We start from the raw sequence: 18504 nt of genomic DNA on the forward strand, positions 1-18504 counted from the left end.
AAGTCACTGCTTCAAGATTAGCCACAGCCCAGCCCAAAATAATACGTCTAAAAAAATTATTAAATTGGCTGGGCGCAATGGCTCATGCCTATAATTCTAGTACTTTTTACTTTGGGAGGCCGAGGTGGGCAGATCACTTGAGGTCAGTTTGAGACCAGCCTGGCCAACATGGAGAAACCCCGTCTCCTCTACTAAAAATACAAAAATTAGTCGGGCGTCGTGGTGGGTGTCTGTAATCCCAGCTACTCGGGAGCCTGAGGCAGGAGAATTGCTTGAATCCTGGCAGGCGGAGGCTGCAATGAGTCAAGATGGCACCGCTGCACTCCAGCCTGCGCTACAGAGCCAGACCCCCCCTCTCAAAAAAAAAGTTGTTAAACTGCAAACTTCATTATTTTGGGGGAAGAATTATGAAACATCTGAGCACTATGAAAAGCCAATTTATGGTCAAGGTGGGTTACATCTCACACCTGAAATGGGGAAGTAGAAACAGTTGCGTTTGAGCATCCCTAATTGAAATGCTCTGAGATCAGAAAATTTCTGAGCACTGACGTGATGCCAGAAGTGGAAAATTCCACACGTGACCTCGTGTGACAAGTCGCAAAGCACCAGGCATACAACAGTTTATGCAGCGACCCTAAGAGAAAAAAAAACCCAGCCCTCTTCAGCTGCAGTGTATCTTCTTATACAAAAACTCTGTTTCATGCACAAAATTATGTGTATGAGGCATATACACGAAACACAGGTGAATTCCACGTTCAGACTTGGGTCCCATCCCCAAGGTCTCATTATGTGTATACAAATATTCAAAAAATGCAAAACAATTCTGGTTTCAAGCATTTCAGATAAGCAATATATATATATTCTATTTTGTTAATAAGGTATACGATTTGCTTTCTCAAAAATGCCTTTTCTGGCCAGACACAGTGGCTCACACCAGTAATCCCTGTATTTTGTAAGGCAGAGGTGGGAGTATCACTTGGGCCCAAGAGGTTGTGGAGAGAGCTGTGTTTGCACCACTGAACTCCAGTCAGGGCAACACAGCCAGACCCCGTCTCAAAAAAAAAAAAAAAAAAAAAAACAAAAAACAGCCTTTTTTCGTGGTCTTAGATGATTATTTCCTTCCTTAGGAAAAAATGTCAGTCTTGAAACAATGCAGGATTGTAATGTCATAAATCCATAAATTATTTATATTAAATGAAGATTGTAGCCTGGATTGATACAAAGTAGTGAAAAGCACTGCTCCAACCTTTTTCCTGTCGTGATCCACAGTGCTTAATGTGGGCAACATTAAAGGCATGGACCGTAAAGGAAAGAAGGCAGACGTTATGCAAAACAACTGAATGTAGACAATTGCTGAGGCAGGTGCTTAGGACCAAGTCTGGCCTATATTGCTTGAGGGCAAGGAGCCATTGGTGATTCCTAAAATGTCCATCTTCATTAACATAATAGTTCAGTAATAAATAGTGGGAAGCCTCACAAGCCGAAGAAAAGGTATTCATCTGTCCAGAGCCTCTCCCTACTAGAGTGATGGACAAGCTTTTCAAAAGTGCTCAGCTCTAACTGCAGTGGGCTCTCAGTCAGATCCTCTTGATAAGGTTCAGAATGAAGCAAGATAAATCGCAATGACGTTCATTCTCCAGCAGCGATGAACAATTTCATGACCAAAAAGTAGTTTTCCAAAGTCCCTTTGTGACAGAGTCCAATTATGTGGCCTGAGCCTCAGTTAAGATGGATCATATTTCCTTTTCTTCATGTCCTGGCTCTTCCTATGAGATTCCCAGTTTCCTATGGAAGACAAAATGGCTTAAATGTAGCTGCCATAATTTTAAAATAAACTGACAGCTAATGATTTCTGGATTATATTAATGATCCTAATTTAGACTAAGCCCAAGAATGAGAATTACTGTTAGGAGGAAGGCAGATGATTCTCCTAGACCAAGTGGCCTCGTGCTCATGACAGACCTGCTGCTGGGAGGGACAGCTCTCCATGCAGTCGTTTCCGCTTCCTGCTATTATCAGGAGCTGAAAAGGGCTGCACCTGAAGTCAGGAGCCCAAAGGAAACGTTCTGGCTCTTAAATCAATTCTGTTCTACTTGCAGTACCATTCCCTAATAGAAGTTCCCGATTCTATCAAACTTTAAATGAAATGTCATCCTTCCTCAAAAATTCCCAGAATTAAAGCTAGGATCTCCCCTTAATTTTTGTGCCTAAACACCTCTCTGCTACCTGTTGTGCGTTGGTCAGCGCTATAAGTTTGGAGGTCCCAAGATCCAGATTTTGCTTGTGGTTTCTGGTGGCAAACGCTGTGTGGAGTCCTGTTCTGGGTCACCATCTGGTTGTTCAAGGCTAATGTGTCAGAGGTCTGGGCTGGGTCTGCTCTAGACGAGGGCTTGACCACACCATCCCCTGCATCGGGAGTCACAGCCCACTTTTCAGAGTTGTCTTCAAGAGTCTCTACAGAGGTCAAGGAAAAGTGCGTCATCAGCAAATAATGAAGTATTCTCACAGAAAGCACTGGAAAAACTGGCCCTCAGAAATTCCATGTCTTCAGTACCTTCTGAAAGTTTTTGGAATTTCTCTCCCCTCCCCCTAAAAGTACACTTCCCTTTGGTTAGGACCAAAGAGGAACTGGACATATGCTATCAGCCAGAACCCCCTCAACAAAACCACACGAAAATGAGGATTTTTATGTCGCCTAAAAGGTATTCTGTGGCTACTAGAAACATACAGCACAGTAGCTTACAAGCATTTCAAGGTATTTACTGATTAATTCTTGAGTCACTCCTGCAAGGAAGTCTTTCTCCAGGAGTGGTTCTGAGACAGTTACAGGAGTGCTGTGCGTCACAGGAGGGGCCGGAGGCGCTGCTACGGTTCACAGAGGAGAGAAAGGACAAGTCATCATCACATCACTGCATGGGATTTCAGAGCGTGGGTCCACTCCCCTCTTGTTAGAGGGAACACTCTCCGAAGCACAACACCGCTTAGGGCTGCGCTGCTTCTGCCAGTAAAAAGAACTTCAGCTTCCCGAGTCCCAGTCCTACCTACAGATCTGTCTGTGGTTTGAATTCTTCTCACCAGTGGGAAAAACAAGTTTCTTTCTCCTTTCACAGCAAAAGTAAAAGGTTTCTCACAGGCCATCTAATCCAGTGTCTGGCTCGCTTGTTAACAGCCATAACCCTTGCTCAAACAAAATCTTAAACTAAAATCTGACCAGGCACAGTGGCTCACACCTGTAACCCCAGCACTTTGGGAGGCCAAGGTGGGAGGATCGCTTGAAACCAGGAATTCGAGACGCCACCTCTACAAAAAATAAAATATCAGCGGGTGTGGTAGCATGCACTTGTAGTCCCAGCCACTCAGGAGGCTGAGGAAGGAGGATCACTTGAGCTCAGGAAGGTCAAAGCTGCAGTGAACCCTGATCCCGCCACTGCACTCCAGGCTGGGTGACAGAGCAAGACCCTGTCTGAAAACAAACCAACAAACAAAATCTTCAGCCAAAATCTGATGTGTGAAATGGATTAAAATAACAATGGCTCGGGTTGTCTGCCAAGGGGCAGGAAAGGCCTGGAGGGCAGCTTCCTCCACAATCTACCCGGGAGCTTCTGCAATGGTTAAGAAGCTAAACACCTGCAATAACTCAACAGTAAGGATATCCACAGGACAGGAAGTGGTTCTGTTTTGGTTTTTATGTTAATTTCAGCCTGTCGGTGCTGAGGGGCATATGAATGAACCAACCATGAAGCAAGTCCTCTGTGAATCTGCTTCACAATTTGTAGGGAAAAACTGGGCAAAAGCTCGATGGGTCTGAGACAAGCCCTTTCTCTGTTTCCACTCTCTGAGTAAGGACTACCTACCGCTGGATGGGCAGGAGAGAACAGGTGGGGAGACAGAGAAGAAAGAAAGAAGGCATCTGTATCACTATTCCCACTCAATCTGGACTCTGAAATAAACTAAAGTTGATAAATAATCTGCCAAAAGTTCCCGTTATTCTCAATCCCAATTTTGCCTTGTATTCGAAGATATCTCAGAAACACAAGGCTTGTTTTTTTTTTGTTTTGTTTTTGTTTTGAGACAGGGTCTCACTCTGTTGCCCAGGCTGGAGTGCAGTGGCACGATCTTGGTTCACTGCAACCTCTGCCTTCTGGATTCAAGCAATTCTGCCTCAGCCTCCCGAGTAGGGGGGACCACAGGCATGCACCACCACACCTGGCTAATTTTTATGTATTTTTAATAGAGACGGGGTTTCGCCATGATGGCCAGGCTGGTCTCAAACTCCTGACCTCACGTGATCCGCCCACCTTGGCCTCCCAAAGTGCTGGGATTACGGACATGAGCCACCGTGCCCGGCCAAGGCTTTCTAATGTAGAGATGGCCAAAGCATTCGAAGCAAAAAAAAGTTCTTTACCCTGAAATTTCTAATTCTAGAAGATTTTATCAAGGCCCACTTAGTTCCACGGGGGAAAAAAGAAATCATTGTCTTTAGAAACGGGAAAATGTACAGCAGATTTAAATATCTGAATTTCCTGGGCTCATCTCTCCTGCGTGTAGCTTGAGAGAAGTCCCAGCGAGGCCTGGTTTGGAGCCGGCCCAGGGTTACCGCAGAGAATCAGAAGACCCTGCGGCTACACTTCCTCCTGCAGACGCCTCCCAGGGCCCTGCTCCCACCCCTCGCTCACCCTCACTCTTCTCAGCTGACGGCGTGGAGACTCGAACCTGCTGCTTCTCCATCCGCTCCCGGAACTGCTGCTGCAGCTGCTTCTGCCGGAGCTTCCGCTGGTGCGTGGCCTCGCTCTCCACGGCGGATGAGCTCAGGCTTCTGCATGAGAGGGCGGCGGCGAGGACGGGCTCCTGAGCAACAGCCGCGGCTGCTGGGAGGACACGCACGGCTGGCTGGCTCTGGAGGCCTGAGTGGAGGCAGCCCCGTGACACAGGAGGGGCCGCAGAGGAAAGGAGGGGACTTAGGCCGCATACCGGGAGCTGCAGTCCTGGTCCGCCGGTATCACAGCATGGCTGGGTCTGGAAGGGGAGGTCACCTGCTGCAGCTGTGGGTGTCCCAGGGCCATGTTCGGTCGGCAGCTGTTGTATCTTGCCTCCTCCACAGACGGTTCAAGATCTTGTCTCTTCGCTTTAGTTAAATCCACTTCAAGAGGCAACTAGAAGGAAAGAAGAAAAACAAATTCCTTCAACTGGCTCTTGCCCTCCGCTGCTTCTCCCTGACTCACAGATTGCGATTCCTGGAAAATCGCATTTGACATCCTCCATCCATCACGCCTTCTAGGTCCTGTAACTCCATGAGCAGGAGGAGCCAAACAATTTCATGTTCTGTGTTAGTGAAGTTTTGATAAAAAGGAATCCTTCTTTGGTTTTGACTTAGGGCAGATGTTCTGTAAAATCGCATTTGAATCTTTCCTGGGCTGCTGGGTCTGTCTTTGCTGCCTCCTTGTCCTTTTTCCACGGAAATGAGCACACACAGTCTCTGTGGAGGTCTGTACCTTCCCAACCCTTTCTGCCAGGGCCACCCCTGCAAATCGCGCTCGTCACTGAGGGAGCCTCGGGCACGCTGTGGCATCACGAAGAACCCTTCAAACGACAGAGGGAAGAACCCTTGGGAGGCACGGACGCCGGCTGCCAGCCAAGGCTGCAAGGAATCTTCCAGAACGGGGCTGCTCTGCATCTCATCAACATGAGAAGGGACAGTCCTGTGCTGCGTGGCACAGGGCAAATGGTTTCATTTCCACACGGATTCCTACAGAAATCCAGAACATTTTTACTTGGGAAAACATCTCTCAATTCATAAAACTGATGCTGATGGAATAATTGTTTGAATATGAGGGATTAAGATGATTACATTTTGACCTGAAAATGAAAATTATAGTGCAGATTTCATGTCTACATTGAAAGATAAATGAGTAGTTTAAAAAGAAATGAGCTTTGGCCAGGCACGTTGACTCATGCCTGTAATCCCAGCACTTTGGCAAGCCGAAGCAGATCACTTGAGTCCAGGGGTTCAAGACCAGCCTGGCCAAAATGGCAAAAATACAAAAATACAAAAAAAAAAAATCGAAGGAACTCCTGAGTAACAGCCTGTCTCTACTAAAAATACAAAAAAAAAAAAAAAAAAATTAGCTGGGCATGGTGGCACACACCAACAATCCCAGCTACTCGGGAGGCTGAGGCAGGGAGAATCACTTAAACCTGGGAGACAGAGGTTGCAGTGGGCGGAGATCGCACCACCGCACTCCAGCCTGGGCGACAGAGCAAGACTGTGTCTCAAAAAAAAGAAACGAGCTTTGAAAAATATGAAAGACTGGCGATACCAAGTGCTGTCAAAGATACAGAACAATTGGAACTTACGCAATGCCACGTGGGGTGTGAATTAATACAACCATACAGGAAAACGGGAAGAACCTACTAAAACTAAACACGTACCTATCTTCTCCCCCAATAATTCCCAACAAAAATGAGTGCAACTGTACAGCAAAAGAATGCTAACAGCATCTCTAATCGAAACAGCCACAAGCTACAAAAACCAAAATGTCTACTAAGAAAAGACTAGAAAAATAAATTGCCACATACTCATGCAAAAGAAAATTATACAGCAATGAAACTGCTGCTCGTACCATGAATGAATCTCACAACCATGCTGAATTCAAGTAAGATACAAAGAGTTCAAACTGTAGGATTCCAAAAAAGTACATAACAATAAAAACAAATTGGTGGCTTTCTTTGTTTTTTGTTTTGTTTTTTGAGAGAGGGTCTCGCTCTGTGGCCCAGGCTGGAGTGCAGTGGCGTAATCACAGCTCACTGCAGCCTGGGCCTCCTAGGCTCAAATGATTCTCCCAGCCCAGCCTCCCAAGCAGCTGGGACTACAGGCGCCACCACCAGGCCCAGCTAATTTTTATTTTTATTTTTATTTTTATTTCGTACAGACAGGGTCCCACTATGTTGTCCTGGCTGGTCTCCAACTCTTGGGCTCAAGCAATCCTTCTTCCTTGGCCTCTCAAGTGGTGGGATTACAGGAGTGAGCCACCACACCCGGCCAATCTGTGTTGTTAAAAGCGGTTTGCTCAGAGTGGGAAGGAGGGCAGGGGATGGCAGTGACTGCAAGGAACACAGCTGGGCCTTCTCGGTACTGGCAGTGTCTTGATTCAGATGTTGGCTGTGTGGATGTGTTTGGTTGGAAAATTCATCAAGCTGAGCATGGATGATACGTGCACTCGTCTAACCTGTCTATATGTTCTTTTTCATACTTCGGTCAATTTTCTTAAAATATGAACTGTACAATTCCACTTACAGTACAATTCCATTTGTGAACTTTACATATATAAAGTTCAAAAACAGGAAAAAATAATCCATGGAAGTCAGAATAGAAGACAGGATAGTAGTTACTTTTGAAAAAAGGAAAGCAAGGCAGTGACTGGAAGAGGGCAAAATGGGGCTTCTGGGCTGCTGGTAAAGGTCTGATTCTCTATCTGGGAGGTGAACAGCTGTGCTCACTTAGGAAATGGTGGCTCATGCCTGTAATCCCAACACTTTGGGAGGCTGAGGCAGGTGGATCACTTGAGGTCAGGAGTTTGAGATCACCCTGGCCAACATGGCGAAACCCCATTTCTACTAAAAGTATAAAAATTAGCCGGGCATGGTGGCGGGCGCCTGTAATCCCAGTTACTTGGGAGGCTGAGGCTGGAGAATCGCTTGAACCCACGAGGCAGAGGTTGCAGTGATCACAACATTGCACTCCAGCCTCGGTGACAAGAGTGAAATTCCGTCTCAACAACAAAAAAAGAGAAATTTGGGGCCAGGCTCAGTGGCTCACACCTGTAATCCCAGAACTTTGGGAGGCCAAGGCAGGTGGATTGATCACTTGAGCCCAGGAGTTTGAGACCAGCCTGGCCAACACAGCAAAACCCCGCTCTACTAAAAAATACGAAACATTAGTTGGGTGTGGTGGTGGGCGCCTGTAGTCCCAGCTACTCAGGAGGCTGAGGCACGAGAATCGCTTGAACCCGGGAGGCGGAGGTTGCAGTGAGCCAAGATAGCGCCACTGCACTCCAGCCTGGGCGACAGAGCAAGACTCTGTCTAAAAAAAAAAAAAAAAATCTGGGCTCAGCGTGGTGGCTCACGCCTGTAATCCCAACACCTTGGGAGGCCGAGGTGGGCGGATCATCTGAGGTTAAGAGTCCAAGATCAGCCTGACCAACATGGTGAAACCCCCTCTCTACAAAATACAAAAAATTAGCTGGGTGTGGTGGCACACACCTGTAGTCCTAGCTAGTTGGGAGGCTGAGGTAGAAGAATTGCCTGAACCTGGGAGGCAGAGATGGCAGTGAGCCGAGATCACACAATTGCACCCCAGCCTGGGCAACAAGAGCAAAAACTCTGTCTCAAAAAAAAAAAAAATTAGCCGGGCATGGTAGCACGCACCTGTAGTTCCAGCTACTCAGGAGGCTGAGGCAGGAGAACTGCTTGAACCCAGGAGGCAAAGGATGCAGTGAGCCAAGATCGCACCACTGCACTCTAGCCTGGGCGGCAGAGCAAGACTCCGTCTCAAAAAAAAAAAAAAAATTGTTATAGGAGACGAGAGTATTATATAATGATAAGAATGTCAGCCAGGTGCAGTGGCTCACACCTATAATCCCAGCATTTTGGGAGGCCGAGGTGGGCAGATCACGAGGTCAGGATATCGAGACCATCCTGGCTAACATGGTGAAACCCCGTCTCTACTAAAAATACAAAAAATTAGCCGGGCGTAGGTGGCGGGCGCCTGTAGTCCCAGCTACTCAGGAGGCTGAGGCAGGAGAATGGTGTGAACCCAGGAGGCAGAGCCTGCAGTGAGCTGAGATCGCACCGCCACTGCACTCCAGCCTGGGCGACAGAGTGAGACTCCGTCTCAAAAAAAAAAAAAAGAATGTCAATTCACCAAGAAGATATAACAATTATAAATATTTATGCACCAAACACCAGAGGTCCTAAATATATGAAGCAAACTTTGAGAGGATTGTAAGGTGAAATAAAAGCAACACAATAATAGTAGGAGACTTCACTACTCAACTTTCAATAATAGATAAAACAACCAAACAAAAGATGAATAAGGCGATAGAGTATTTGAACAATACTATAGGCCAACTGGACCTAACAGTCATATACATAACATTCCACCCACCAATAGCAGAAAATACATTCTTCTCAAGTACACATGGAACATTCTCCAAGACAGACTACATGTTAGGCCACAAAACAAGTCCTAACAAATTCAAGATTGAAATCATATAAAGTATCTTTTCAATCACAATGGAATGAAACTAGAAATCAACAGCAAAAAGAAAACTGGAAAATCCACAAATCAGTAGAAATTAAACACCACACTCTTAAAGTCAAAGGAAATGTAACAAGCCAACTTAGAAGAATTCCCAGAGACAAATGATACTACAACACAACCTACCAAACTTCTGGGGTGCAGGGAAAGAAGTCGTAAGAGGGAAGTTACACACATAGTTAAAAAAAAAAGATCTCAAATCTACGCTATACCTCAAAGAACTAGAAAAAAAAAGTTACACCCAAAGCTAGAAGAAAGGAAATTCTAAAAAGATGACAGCAAACATAAGTGAAAGAGAGAATACAAAAACAATACGAAAAAGCTCAATAAAAGTAGGAGTTGGGCCATATGGGTTTCTCACGCCTGTTATCCCAGCATTTTGGGAGGCCAAGGCAGGTGGATCACTTGAGGCCAGGAGTTTGAGACCAGCCTGGGCAACACGGTAAAATTTTTTGTATTCTGTACAAAAAATAAAAAAATTAGCCTGGCATGGTGGCAAATGCCTGTAGTCCCAGCTACTTGGGAGGCTAAGGCAGGAGGATCATTTGAGTCTGGGATATAGAGGCTGCAGTGAGCCGAGATCACACGACTGCCCTCCAGCCTGCGTGGGAGGATCACTCAAGCCCAGGATGTCGAGGCTCCAGGGAGCCAAGCCATGATCAGACCACTGCATTCCAGCCTGGGTGACAGGGCGAGATCTTGTCATGAGATGAGATGAGATGAGATGAATAAAAGAAATTAAATTAAAATAATAAAACAAAATAAAATGACAAAGGACTTGAATAGACATCTCTCCAAAGACGATAAACAGATGGCCAACAAGCATATGAAAATATGGTTGGCTGGGTGCGGGGGCTCACACCTGTAATCCCATCACTTTGGGAGGCCAAGGCGGGCGGATCACCTGAGGTCAGGAGTTCGAGACCAGCCTGACCAACATGGTGAAACCCCATCTCTACTAAAAATACAAAAATTAGCCCGGCATGGTGGCAGGCGCCTATAGTCCCAGCTACTTGGGAGGCTGAGACAGGAGAATTGTTTGAACCCAGAGGCAGAGGTTGCAGTGAACCAAGATTGTGCCACTGCACTCCAGCCTGGGTAACAGAGTGAGATTCTGTCTCAAAAAAGAAAATATGGTCAACATCACTAATCATCAGGGGTATGCAAATCATAACCCCAATAAAATATCACGCCCATTAGGTTGGCTTAAAAAAAAAAAAAAAAAAAAAACCAAAAACTCAGAAAATAACAAGTGCTGGTTAGGATTTAGAAAAATCTGAACTCATGTGCCCTGTTGGTGGAATGGTAAAATGGGGCAACTGTATGAAAATCAGTGTGGCAGCTCCTCGAAAAATTAAAAATAGGATTACCATGACCCAGCAATCCCCTTCAGAATATGTCTAAAAGAATTGAAAGCAAGATCTCAAAGAGAGTTACACACCCTCGTTCATAGCAGCATTATTCACAATAGCCAAGAGGTTGAAAGCAACCCAAATCCCCATCACCAAATGAATGCATAAACAAAATGTGGTCTATATATACAACAGAATATTCAGCCACAAAAAGAAGGGAATTCTGATACACACTACTACATGGATGAATCTTAAAGGCATTAATGCTAGCTAAGTGAAATAAGCCAGTCACAAAAAGCAAAAATTATGTGATTCCATTTATATGAGGTATCCAGAGTAGACAAATTCACAGAAACAGAAAGTAGACACATATACCTATAATCTCAGCACTTAAGGAGGCTGAGTGGGAGGATCGCTTGTAGCCAGGAGTTTGAGACTAGCCTGGGCAATAGCAAAACTCCATGACCACACACAAAAAAGTATTTTATTTTTATATTTTATTATTATTATTTTGAGACAGAATCTCACTCTGTCTCCCAGGCTGGAGTGCAGTAGTGCAATCTTGGCTCACTGCAGCCTCCACCTCCCAGGTTCAAGCGATTCTCATGCCTCAGCCTCCAGAAGAGCTGGGATTACAGGCAGGCTGACCACCGGGATTACAGGCAGGCTGACCACCATGCCCAGCTGATTTTTGTATTTTTTAGTAGAGACAGGGTTTCACCATGTTGGCCAGGGTGGTCTCAAACTCCTAGGCTCAAGTGATCTAACCACCTCGGCCTCCCAAAGTGCTAGGATTATAGGCAGGAGCCACAGCGCCTAACCTAATTTTTTAAAAAAGAAAAAAAGATCAAGACCAGCCTCAGCAACATAGCAAGAACTCACCTCTTAAAAAAAAAAGCCCCCAAAAAAAGTTAATTAGCTGGCTCCAGGTACAGTGGCCCACGCTGCAATCCCAGCGCTTTGGGAGGCCGAGGCAGGAGGATCACATGAGCCCAGCAGTTCATGACCAGCCCTGAGAAATTCTGTCTCTACAAAAAAAATAGTAATAATTGTTTAAAAAATAAATTAGCTAGGTGCACTGGCACATACCTGTAGTCCCAGCCACCTGAGAGGCTGAGGCAGGAGGATCCAGGAGGATCCCTTGGGCCCAGGAGTGCAAGGATGCAGTGAATTATGATGGCACTCCTGCATTCCAGCCTGGCTGACAGAGCAAGACCTCATCTTTCATAAAATAAATTAAAAAAAAAAAAAAAGGAAAGAAAGTGGAAGTAGTTACAAGGGTCTGGGAAAGGGGGAAATGCGGAGTTCTTGTTTTACGGGTGCAGGGTCTTAGTTCTGCAGATCAATTTCACAACAATGGGAATACACTTAACACTACTCGACCACACACTAAAAATAGTTAAAATGTGATGTGTTTTACTACAATTTAAAAAAAGAAAAGGCCGGGTGCGGTGGCTCACGCCTGTCATCCCAAAACTTTCGGAGGCCGAGGCAGGCGGATTACTTGAGGTCAGGAGTTCAAGACCAGCCTGGCCAACAGGACGAAACCCCATCTACTAAAAATAAAAAAATTAGCTGGGCATGGTGGTGGCTGGCACCTGTAGTCCCAGCGACTTGGGAGGCTGAGGCAGGAGAATGGCATGAACCCGGGAGGCAGAGGTTGCAGTGAGCTGAGATCACACTACTGCACTCCAGCCTGGGCGACAGAGTGAGACTATCTCAAAAAAAAAAAAAGAAAAAGAAAACTTGACTAATATCTCTCATAAACATAGATGCAAAAATGCCTAACAAAGGCCGGGCGCGGGGGCTCACGCCTGTAATCTCAGCACTTTGGGAGGCCGAGGCAGGCGAATCATGAGGTCAGGAATTCGAGACCAGCCTGACCAAGATGGTGAAACCCCGTCTCTACTAAAAAAATACAAAAATTAGCCAGGCGTGGTGGTACACACCTGTAATCCCAGCTACTCAGGAGGCTGAGGCAGGAGCATCGCTGGAACCCAGGAGGCAGAGGTTGCAGTGAGCCAAGATCACACCACTGCACTTCAGCCTGGGCGACAGAGCGAGACTCCGTCTCAAAAAAAAAAGTCTAACAAAATATTAGCAAACTGAATCCAATAATGTTTAAAAATGATTTTTTTAAAGGAGTTTTTACAGATGCCCAGTGACACACACCTTGTGGGGCTCCATGAGGACAAGAATCCCTCAGGCACAGGATGGGAATGCTGCCCTGGGGAGCGACATGGCAGGGACCTCGGAGAGCAGATGAGGCAGGAGGAACACTCCAGAAGCCACTCATGGCAAGGCAGTGTGACTCCAGGGCTGCCCCACCACAGACCCCATTCTCCAAAGGCAAAGGCTCAGATCACGTTATAGGTATTGACAGAAATAATGGACATGTAAATGACATTGTAATGACATCAGACATGTAATGACACCAGAACTAAGGAAAAGAAAGAAGGCTCAACAGCGAGGCTGGGAGTGTCTGGGAAGGACAGTGGTGCTGCAGAGGGCTGTGTGCTTGCTTTGAGGCTTCACAGACTACCCCCAACCACAGTTCACTACCTACACGTACACAAATTCTCTAGACCTCACATTCTTGTCAAATGGTGTGATTTTTTTTTTTTTTTTTTTTGGAGACGGAGTCTGGCTCTGTCGCCCAGGTTGGAGTGCAGTGGTGCCATCTCGGCTCACTGCAAGCTCTGCCTCCCGGGTTCACGCCATTCTCCTGCCTCAGCCTCCCGAGTAGCTGGGACTACAGGCGCCCACCACCTCGCCCGGCTAATTTTTTGTATTTTTAGTAGAGACAGGGTTTCACCGTGTTAGCCAGGATGGTCTCGATCTCCTGACCTTGTGATCCACCTGCCTCCACCTCCCAAAGTGCTGGGATTCCAGGCGTGAGCCACGGTCCCCGGCCCACATGATGTACTTTAGAAAAAAGGAAAATGTTGGGATTAGTTCCTGCTGTCTCTAACATTCGAAATCTGAAATCAACATTCCCGACCCTCTAAAGAGCTGAGTCCTCACTTTTTCTCCTTGCATCCTCCAAATACTCAACCCATGACACACAAGAGTTTGCCGCATTATCTTCACTCCACTCATCCATGTCTGATATACCTGGCGTGGAAGCTTATTTAGTGATCTCAGGTAGTCTTTGTCCAGAATACAGTTTCCAAGTGCATTCCCAAAACTCCTAAGGGCAAGAGAAAAAAAGGTGAAACAGGGTTAAGAATTGTTACACATGAATATCAGAGAATAGAATTACAACTTTTGTACAGGTTGCTTCTCAGGAGCAGCAGAGGAAGTGGACCCTAACATGCATTCCCCATTGATGTCTGGTAAGCATCTAGCATGTTCCTGCACTGTGTTAGTTTCTGAGAATACTGCAGTGAGGACAAGACACAAGTCCCTGCCCTCACAGAGAAGATGAGTATGAAAAGATTACGGCGCCATTCACAAAACCCACCAGCCACCTCCTGACATGGAGAACAAACTGCAGAGAGTTTTTCTTTTTTTTCCCCCCAAAGGCTGCTCCAATTTCCCAGCAGGAGTAGGCAACACACACTTGGGGACCGGGGGCTCAAGGGCACAACCTCCCATGACCAGAGTTCTTAACTTGGGATCTACGGACTCCCCCACAGAACTCATAGGTTTTTCTGGTTCAATTCACTTCAATTCTCAAAGACACGGATATGGTTTGGATGTTTATCCCCTCCAAATTTCATGTTGAAACGTGACCTCCAATGCCGGGGGGTGCGGCCTGGTGGGAGGTACTGGATCCTGGGGCTGGATTCCTCATAAACAGCTTAGTGCCATCCCCTTGGTGTTGAGTGAGTTCTCACTCAGCTCATGAGAGATCTGGTGGTTTTGAGTGTGGGGGCTGGGCATGATGGCTCATGCCTGTGATCCCGGCACTTTGGGAGGCACAAGGCAGGAGGATGACTTGAGCCCAGGAGTTTGAGACCAGCCTAGGCAACAAAGGGAGACCCTGTCTCTCCAAAAAAAAAAAAATTTTTTTTTAATTAACTGGGGGTGGTGTTATGTGCCTGTGATCCCAGCTACTCGGGAGGCTGAGGCGGGAAGATCACTTCAGCCCAGGAGTTCAAGGCTGCACTGAGCGATGACGGCACCACTGCACCCCAGCCTGTGCAACAGAGCAAGACCCTGTCTCAAAAAATGAAAAACAACAATAAAATAAATAAATAAGCCTGGGACTCCTTCCTTCTCTCTCTTGCTCCCTCTCTCTCCACGTTCCCTCTTCACCTTCTGCCATGATTAGAAGCTTCCTGAGGCCTCAGCAGAAGTGGATGCTGGCACCAGGCTTCCAGTACAGTCCACAGAATCATAAGCCAATCAAACCTCCTTTATTTATAAATTACCCAGCCTCTGGTATTCCTGTATAGCAACATAAATGGACTAACACGGACATCTGCGTGACTGTGTAACTACGTTAACTATGCTACCTGTGCGTAGCGGAGGACTGCTGAGGAGCACGGAGAGGAGGGTGCTGTCTGTGCACTCGCAGTAGGAGTGGGAAGGCCTCCGGCACACATGACTGAGTGCACGGAGAAGAGAGAGTACAGGATTCTACCACTTACTCCCAGCAAGGGAAGCCTGAAACAGAAACATTGAAAAAATACTAACGAAAGTGGGAAAACGGCAGACAGGAACCAGGGCAGGGGTGAGAATTACCTTCCACGCTGCTTGGATTTTTGAACCATGTGGATGTGTTACCTCTTCCAAAAAAAATCGAAATCTGCTCTGAAGCAAGAGCTGAAATGACGCAGGTTAGACTCCCAGCCCCGCGCTCACCTGAGGGCTCGCTTCAGCCCGTCTGTCACCGCCTCCTTCCTTGCCTTCTCCAAAGATAAAGCCTTGGACTTGAGGCCCTCACTAACACCATAACCAACATCTTCATGATATGAACCATCCTGGGGGCAGAAAAGGAGTTTGAACTCAAACACGAGAGCGGCAGGCGTGCCACAACTCCCCTGTTCCTCAAGCAGCAGGGTTCAAAGCCGGACTCTCCCACCTGGCGGCCTTGCTACAGGGGCACGGGCAGAAGGCTGGGTGAGAATCCATCGCGAGTGCTGCTTCCTAGACCTGGGCTGCCTGGACATGTGCCTGCGGTCAAGGTGTCAAGACGATCCTCCCTTCCCAACTTCCCAACACACAAAGGGCACATTAGAAACTCACCCCAAATCCTATCAGTGTGCATCACCCTAAGGTAAAAAAAACCTCTGGGATGGCCGGGCCGGGCGTGGTGGCTCACGCTGTAATCCCAGCCCTTTGGGAGGTCAAGGGAGGTGGATCACTTGAGGTCAGGAGTTCAAGACCAGCCTGGTCAACATGGTGAAACCCTATCTCTACTAAAAATACAAAAATTAGCCGGGTGTGGTGGTGGGCACCTGTAATCCCAGCTACTCAGGAGACTGAGGCAGGAGAATCACTTGAACCTGGGAGGCAGAGGTTGCAGTGAGCCGAGATTGCACCACTGCACTCCAGCCTGGGTGATAGAGTGAGACTACGTCTTGGAAAAAAAAAAACCTCTGGGATATGAAACAAAGGGATGATTTGAACACTGGATCTAATGGTCTGTAAGGACGGGAGAGCAAACCCTTTGTAAATCAGGTGGCGTCCAGCTCCTGCCTCTCACCAAAAGAGAAGGTGGACCTGAGCACATCATTCGCTGATTGAGAATTAAATACAATGTTTGATGACAGCGCTCTGTGATTTTTAAAAAATAACTCAGAAAGCACTCAAATAAATGAGTGACACTATAACACAATTCTTTCCATTCTCAGCTACTCACTCATAGATACAAGATTTTTTAGTACTATTTAGAAAAATAAGTCAGAATAGAATTAATGCTGAATTGTTCATTCAAGAAATAAGTAGGCCGGGTGCGGTGGCTCACGCCTGTAATCCCAGCACTTTTGGAGGCCAAGGCGGGTGGATCACCTGAGGTTGTGAGTTCCAGACCAGCCTGACCAACATGGAGAAACCGCGTCTCTACTGAAAACACACACAAAAAATTAGGCGGGCGGGGTGGCGCATGCCTGTAATCCCAGCTACTTGGGAGGCTGAGGCAGGAGAATCGCTTGAACCCAGGAGGTGGAGGTTGCGGTGAGCTGAGATTGAACCATTGCCCTCCAGCCTGGGCAACAAGAGCAAAACTCCATCTCAAAAAAAAAAAAGAAGTAAGTAATATTCAGTTATGGATATATGGATATATAAACTAACTGAAAAGAAAAAACAGCACCATCCATCTCATTAAGATATACATTTTCCATAAATTTTATATTTTAAATTTTTTATTTTTGTGGCAAGATTTCATATCTTTAATTTTTCTAAGTATCAAAATTTTGCTGTATTTATGTTTTCTCTTCACCATAAACACAATTGTCTGGTCAATTGTGTGTTAACAGTAGCTATAATATAACTAAATCCAAAAGAAATATTTTAATATTTAGAGCCTTAAGTGCACTGAAAATTTACCAAAAATTTTTATTTTTATACACAGGCAAAGGCAGAGAAGCACAGTAAGGCTACCGATAAAACTTTTCTTTTTTTCCACCCAGGAGTTCAGTGGCGCAATCACAGCTCACCACAGCCTCGACTTCCTGGGCTCAGGTGATCCTCCCACCTCAGCCTCTTGAGTAGCTAGGACTACAAGCATACACCACCATGCCCAGCTAATTTTTTGTATTTTTAGTAGAGACGGGCTTTCGCTATGTTGCCCAGGCTGGTCTCAAATCCCTGGGCTCAAGCAGTCCTTCCACCTGGGCCTCCCAAAGTGCTGGGGTTACACGAATGAGCCACCCCGCCTAGCCAAACTTTCAACCATAAATATGTATTAGGATTAAAACCAGTGGGGAAATAGAATAGAAATATGAGTTCAGATAAAGAAAGAACAATGTAAAATTTCTAATGATTAAAAAAAAGCTTGTTCATTGTATTTCTTCAAATAAATGATAGATCTTATCCTCTATAGTATTTAGAGTCCACTGGAATATTTAACAAGATTCAACAGATTTACGGTAAGTGCTCACTTAACACCTTAAATAACTGTGACTTGAAGTGAAACAACTTATTAACAAAACATATTTTTGTTTTCATCAATGTTATAACAAAAGGACCTGCTTTGCCTAAAGTTGAGTTTCCAAACACTTATCAGTGATGGTAAAATTATTGTATTTTAAAATGTCAGATTTTACCATATGCCAAAAAATACATCCTTTGCAACAATTTTTATATATGGTGAAAACTTTTAGGTGTCAGCTTGAACATGTGCAAGAGAACAGTTTTTCCATTCTTTTAGGGAGCACATGAGCAAGAGTATTTGAATTCCACCACTCTAGGGAACGCTGGCTGAGACACAACTCTGGAGCCTGGGTCCCCGTCCAGCTACCTACTTCCCTACCTGCTCACCTTCTCCTACCACCCACTGATCCTTCCGGGCAGCAGGTCTACTCCATCCCCTCACCTTCAGCTGGACCCTCACAAATGCACAGACTCCCACGTAGAACTTGCCATTGTTGAGGTCAACAAAATCTAGGAGTGGGAAAGAGAGCAAGTTGAAGAGGACACTGACCGCTGGGCCACAACCATTCCTCCTGCTGGCAGCTGAGTCCACCTACCTTACCTCCTCACCCACAGCAGACTTTCAGCAGGAGCTGGACAGTGCAGAAGTCCCCACTGCTGGAGAGCATACTCACCCACATTCTGCTGCGTGATGGAGTGTGCCCAGCCATTGTAACCAAACATCTCATTGGCCAGATTAATTACCCGATGACCCTCAATGTAGCACACCTAGAAAAACAAATGTTTTTAAGGAAA

The 18504-nt window shown here is 46.1% G+C and overlaps 1 protein-coding gene across 24 annotated transcripts in view, besides 4 other annotated features; it reads right to left on the bottom strand.

The window, feature by feature from the left end:
* Positions 69–18504, bottom strand: part of RAD52 (RAD52 DNA repair protein) — a 79387-nt gene continuing 60951 nt past the window's right edge. For 9 of the 24 annotated variants that reach the window (XM_017019769.2, XM_005253720.6, NM_001297419.1 and 6 more), the window contains 9 exons: positions 18384–18477; positions 18152–18219; positions 15478–15596; positions 13783–13858; positions 4972–5153; positions 4677–4816; positions 2764–2865; positions 2227–2454; positions 69–1785 (listed from right to left, as the gene is read on the bottom strand). In XM_017019769.2, the coding sequence (XP_016875258.1) occupies positions 1724–1785; positions 2227–2454; positions 2764–2865; positions 4677–4816; positions 4972–5153; positions 13783–13858; positions 15478–15596; positions 18152–18219; positions 18384–18477 (1071 nt within the window). In that variant the 3' untranslated portion in view covers positions 69–1723. Of the gene's footprint in view, positions 1786–2226; positions 2866–4538; positions 4869–4971; positions 5154–13782; positions 13859–15128; positions 15280–15477; positions 15597–18096; positions 18220–18383; positions 18478–18504 lie in introns of those variants that run through there. The other 15 variants (XM_047429285.1, XM_017019770.2, XM_047429284.1 and 12 more) reach the window with 11 other exon arrangements.
* Positions 2179–3378: an enhancer, noted in NCBI's record as "P300/CBP strongly-dependent group 1 enhancer chr12:1023012-1024211 (GRCh37/hg19 assembly coordinates)". NCBI's record gives its function as "activates an origin of replication core promoter dependent on BRD2, BRD4, P300/CBP, MED14 and CDK7 cofactors, with strong dependence on P300/CBP, by STARR-seq in HCT116 cells {active_cell/tissue: HCT116}" and the evidence as "EXISTENCE:reporter gene assay evidence [ECO:0000049][PMID:35650434]".
* Positions 2179–3786: a biological region, named in NCBI's record as "P300/CBP strongly-dependent group 1 enhancer GRCh37_chr12:1023012-1024211".
* Positions 2785–3285: an enhancer, noted in NCBI's record as "H3K27ac hESC enhancer chr12:1023618-1024118 (GRCh37/hg19 assembly coordinates)". NCBI's record gives its function as "activates a minimal SCP1, AML or CMV promoter by ChIP-STARR-seq in primed H9 embryonic stem cells {active_cell/tissue: H9 hESC(primed)}" and the evidence as "EXISTENCE:reporter gene assay evidence [ECO:0000049][PMID:30033119]".
* Positions 3286–3786: an enhancer, noted in NCBI's record as "H3K27ac hESC enhancer chr12:1024119-1024619 (GRCh37/hg19 assembly coordinates)". NCBI's record gives its function as "activates a minimal SCP1, AML or CMV promoter by ChIP-STARR-seq in primed H9 embryonic stem cells {active_cell/tissue: H9 hESC(primed)}" and the evidence as "EXISTENCE:reporter gene assay evidence [ECO:0000049][PMID:30033119]".

Source organism: Homo sapiens, chromosome 12 (genome assembly GCF_000001405.40).
Source record: "Homo sapiens chromosome 12, GRCh38.p14 Primary Assembly".
Taxonomy (NCBI): Eukaryota; Metazoa; Chordata; class Mammalia; order Primates; family Hominidae; genus Homo; species Homo sapiens.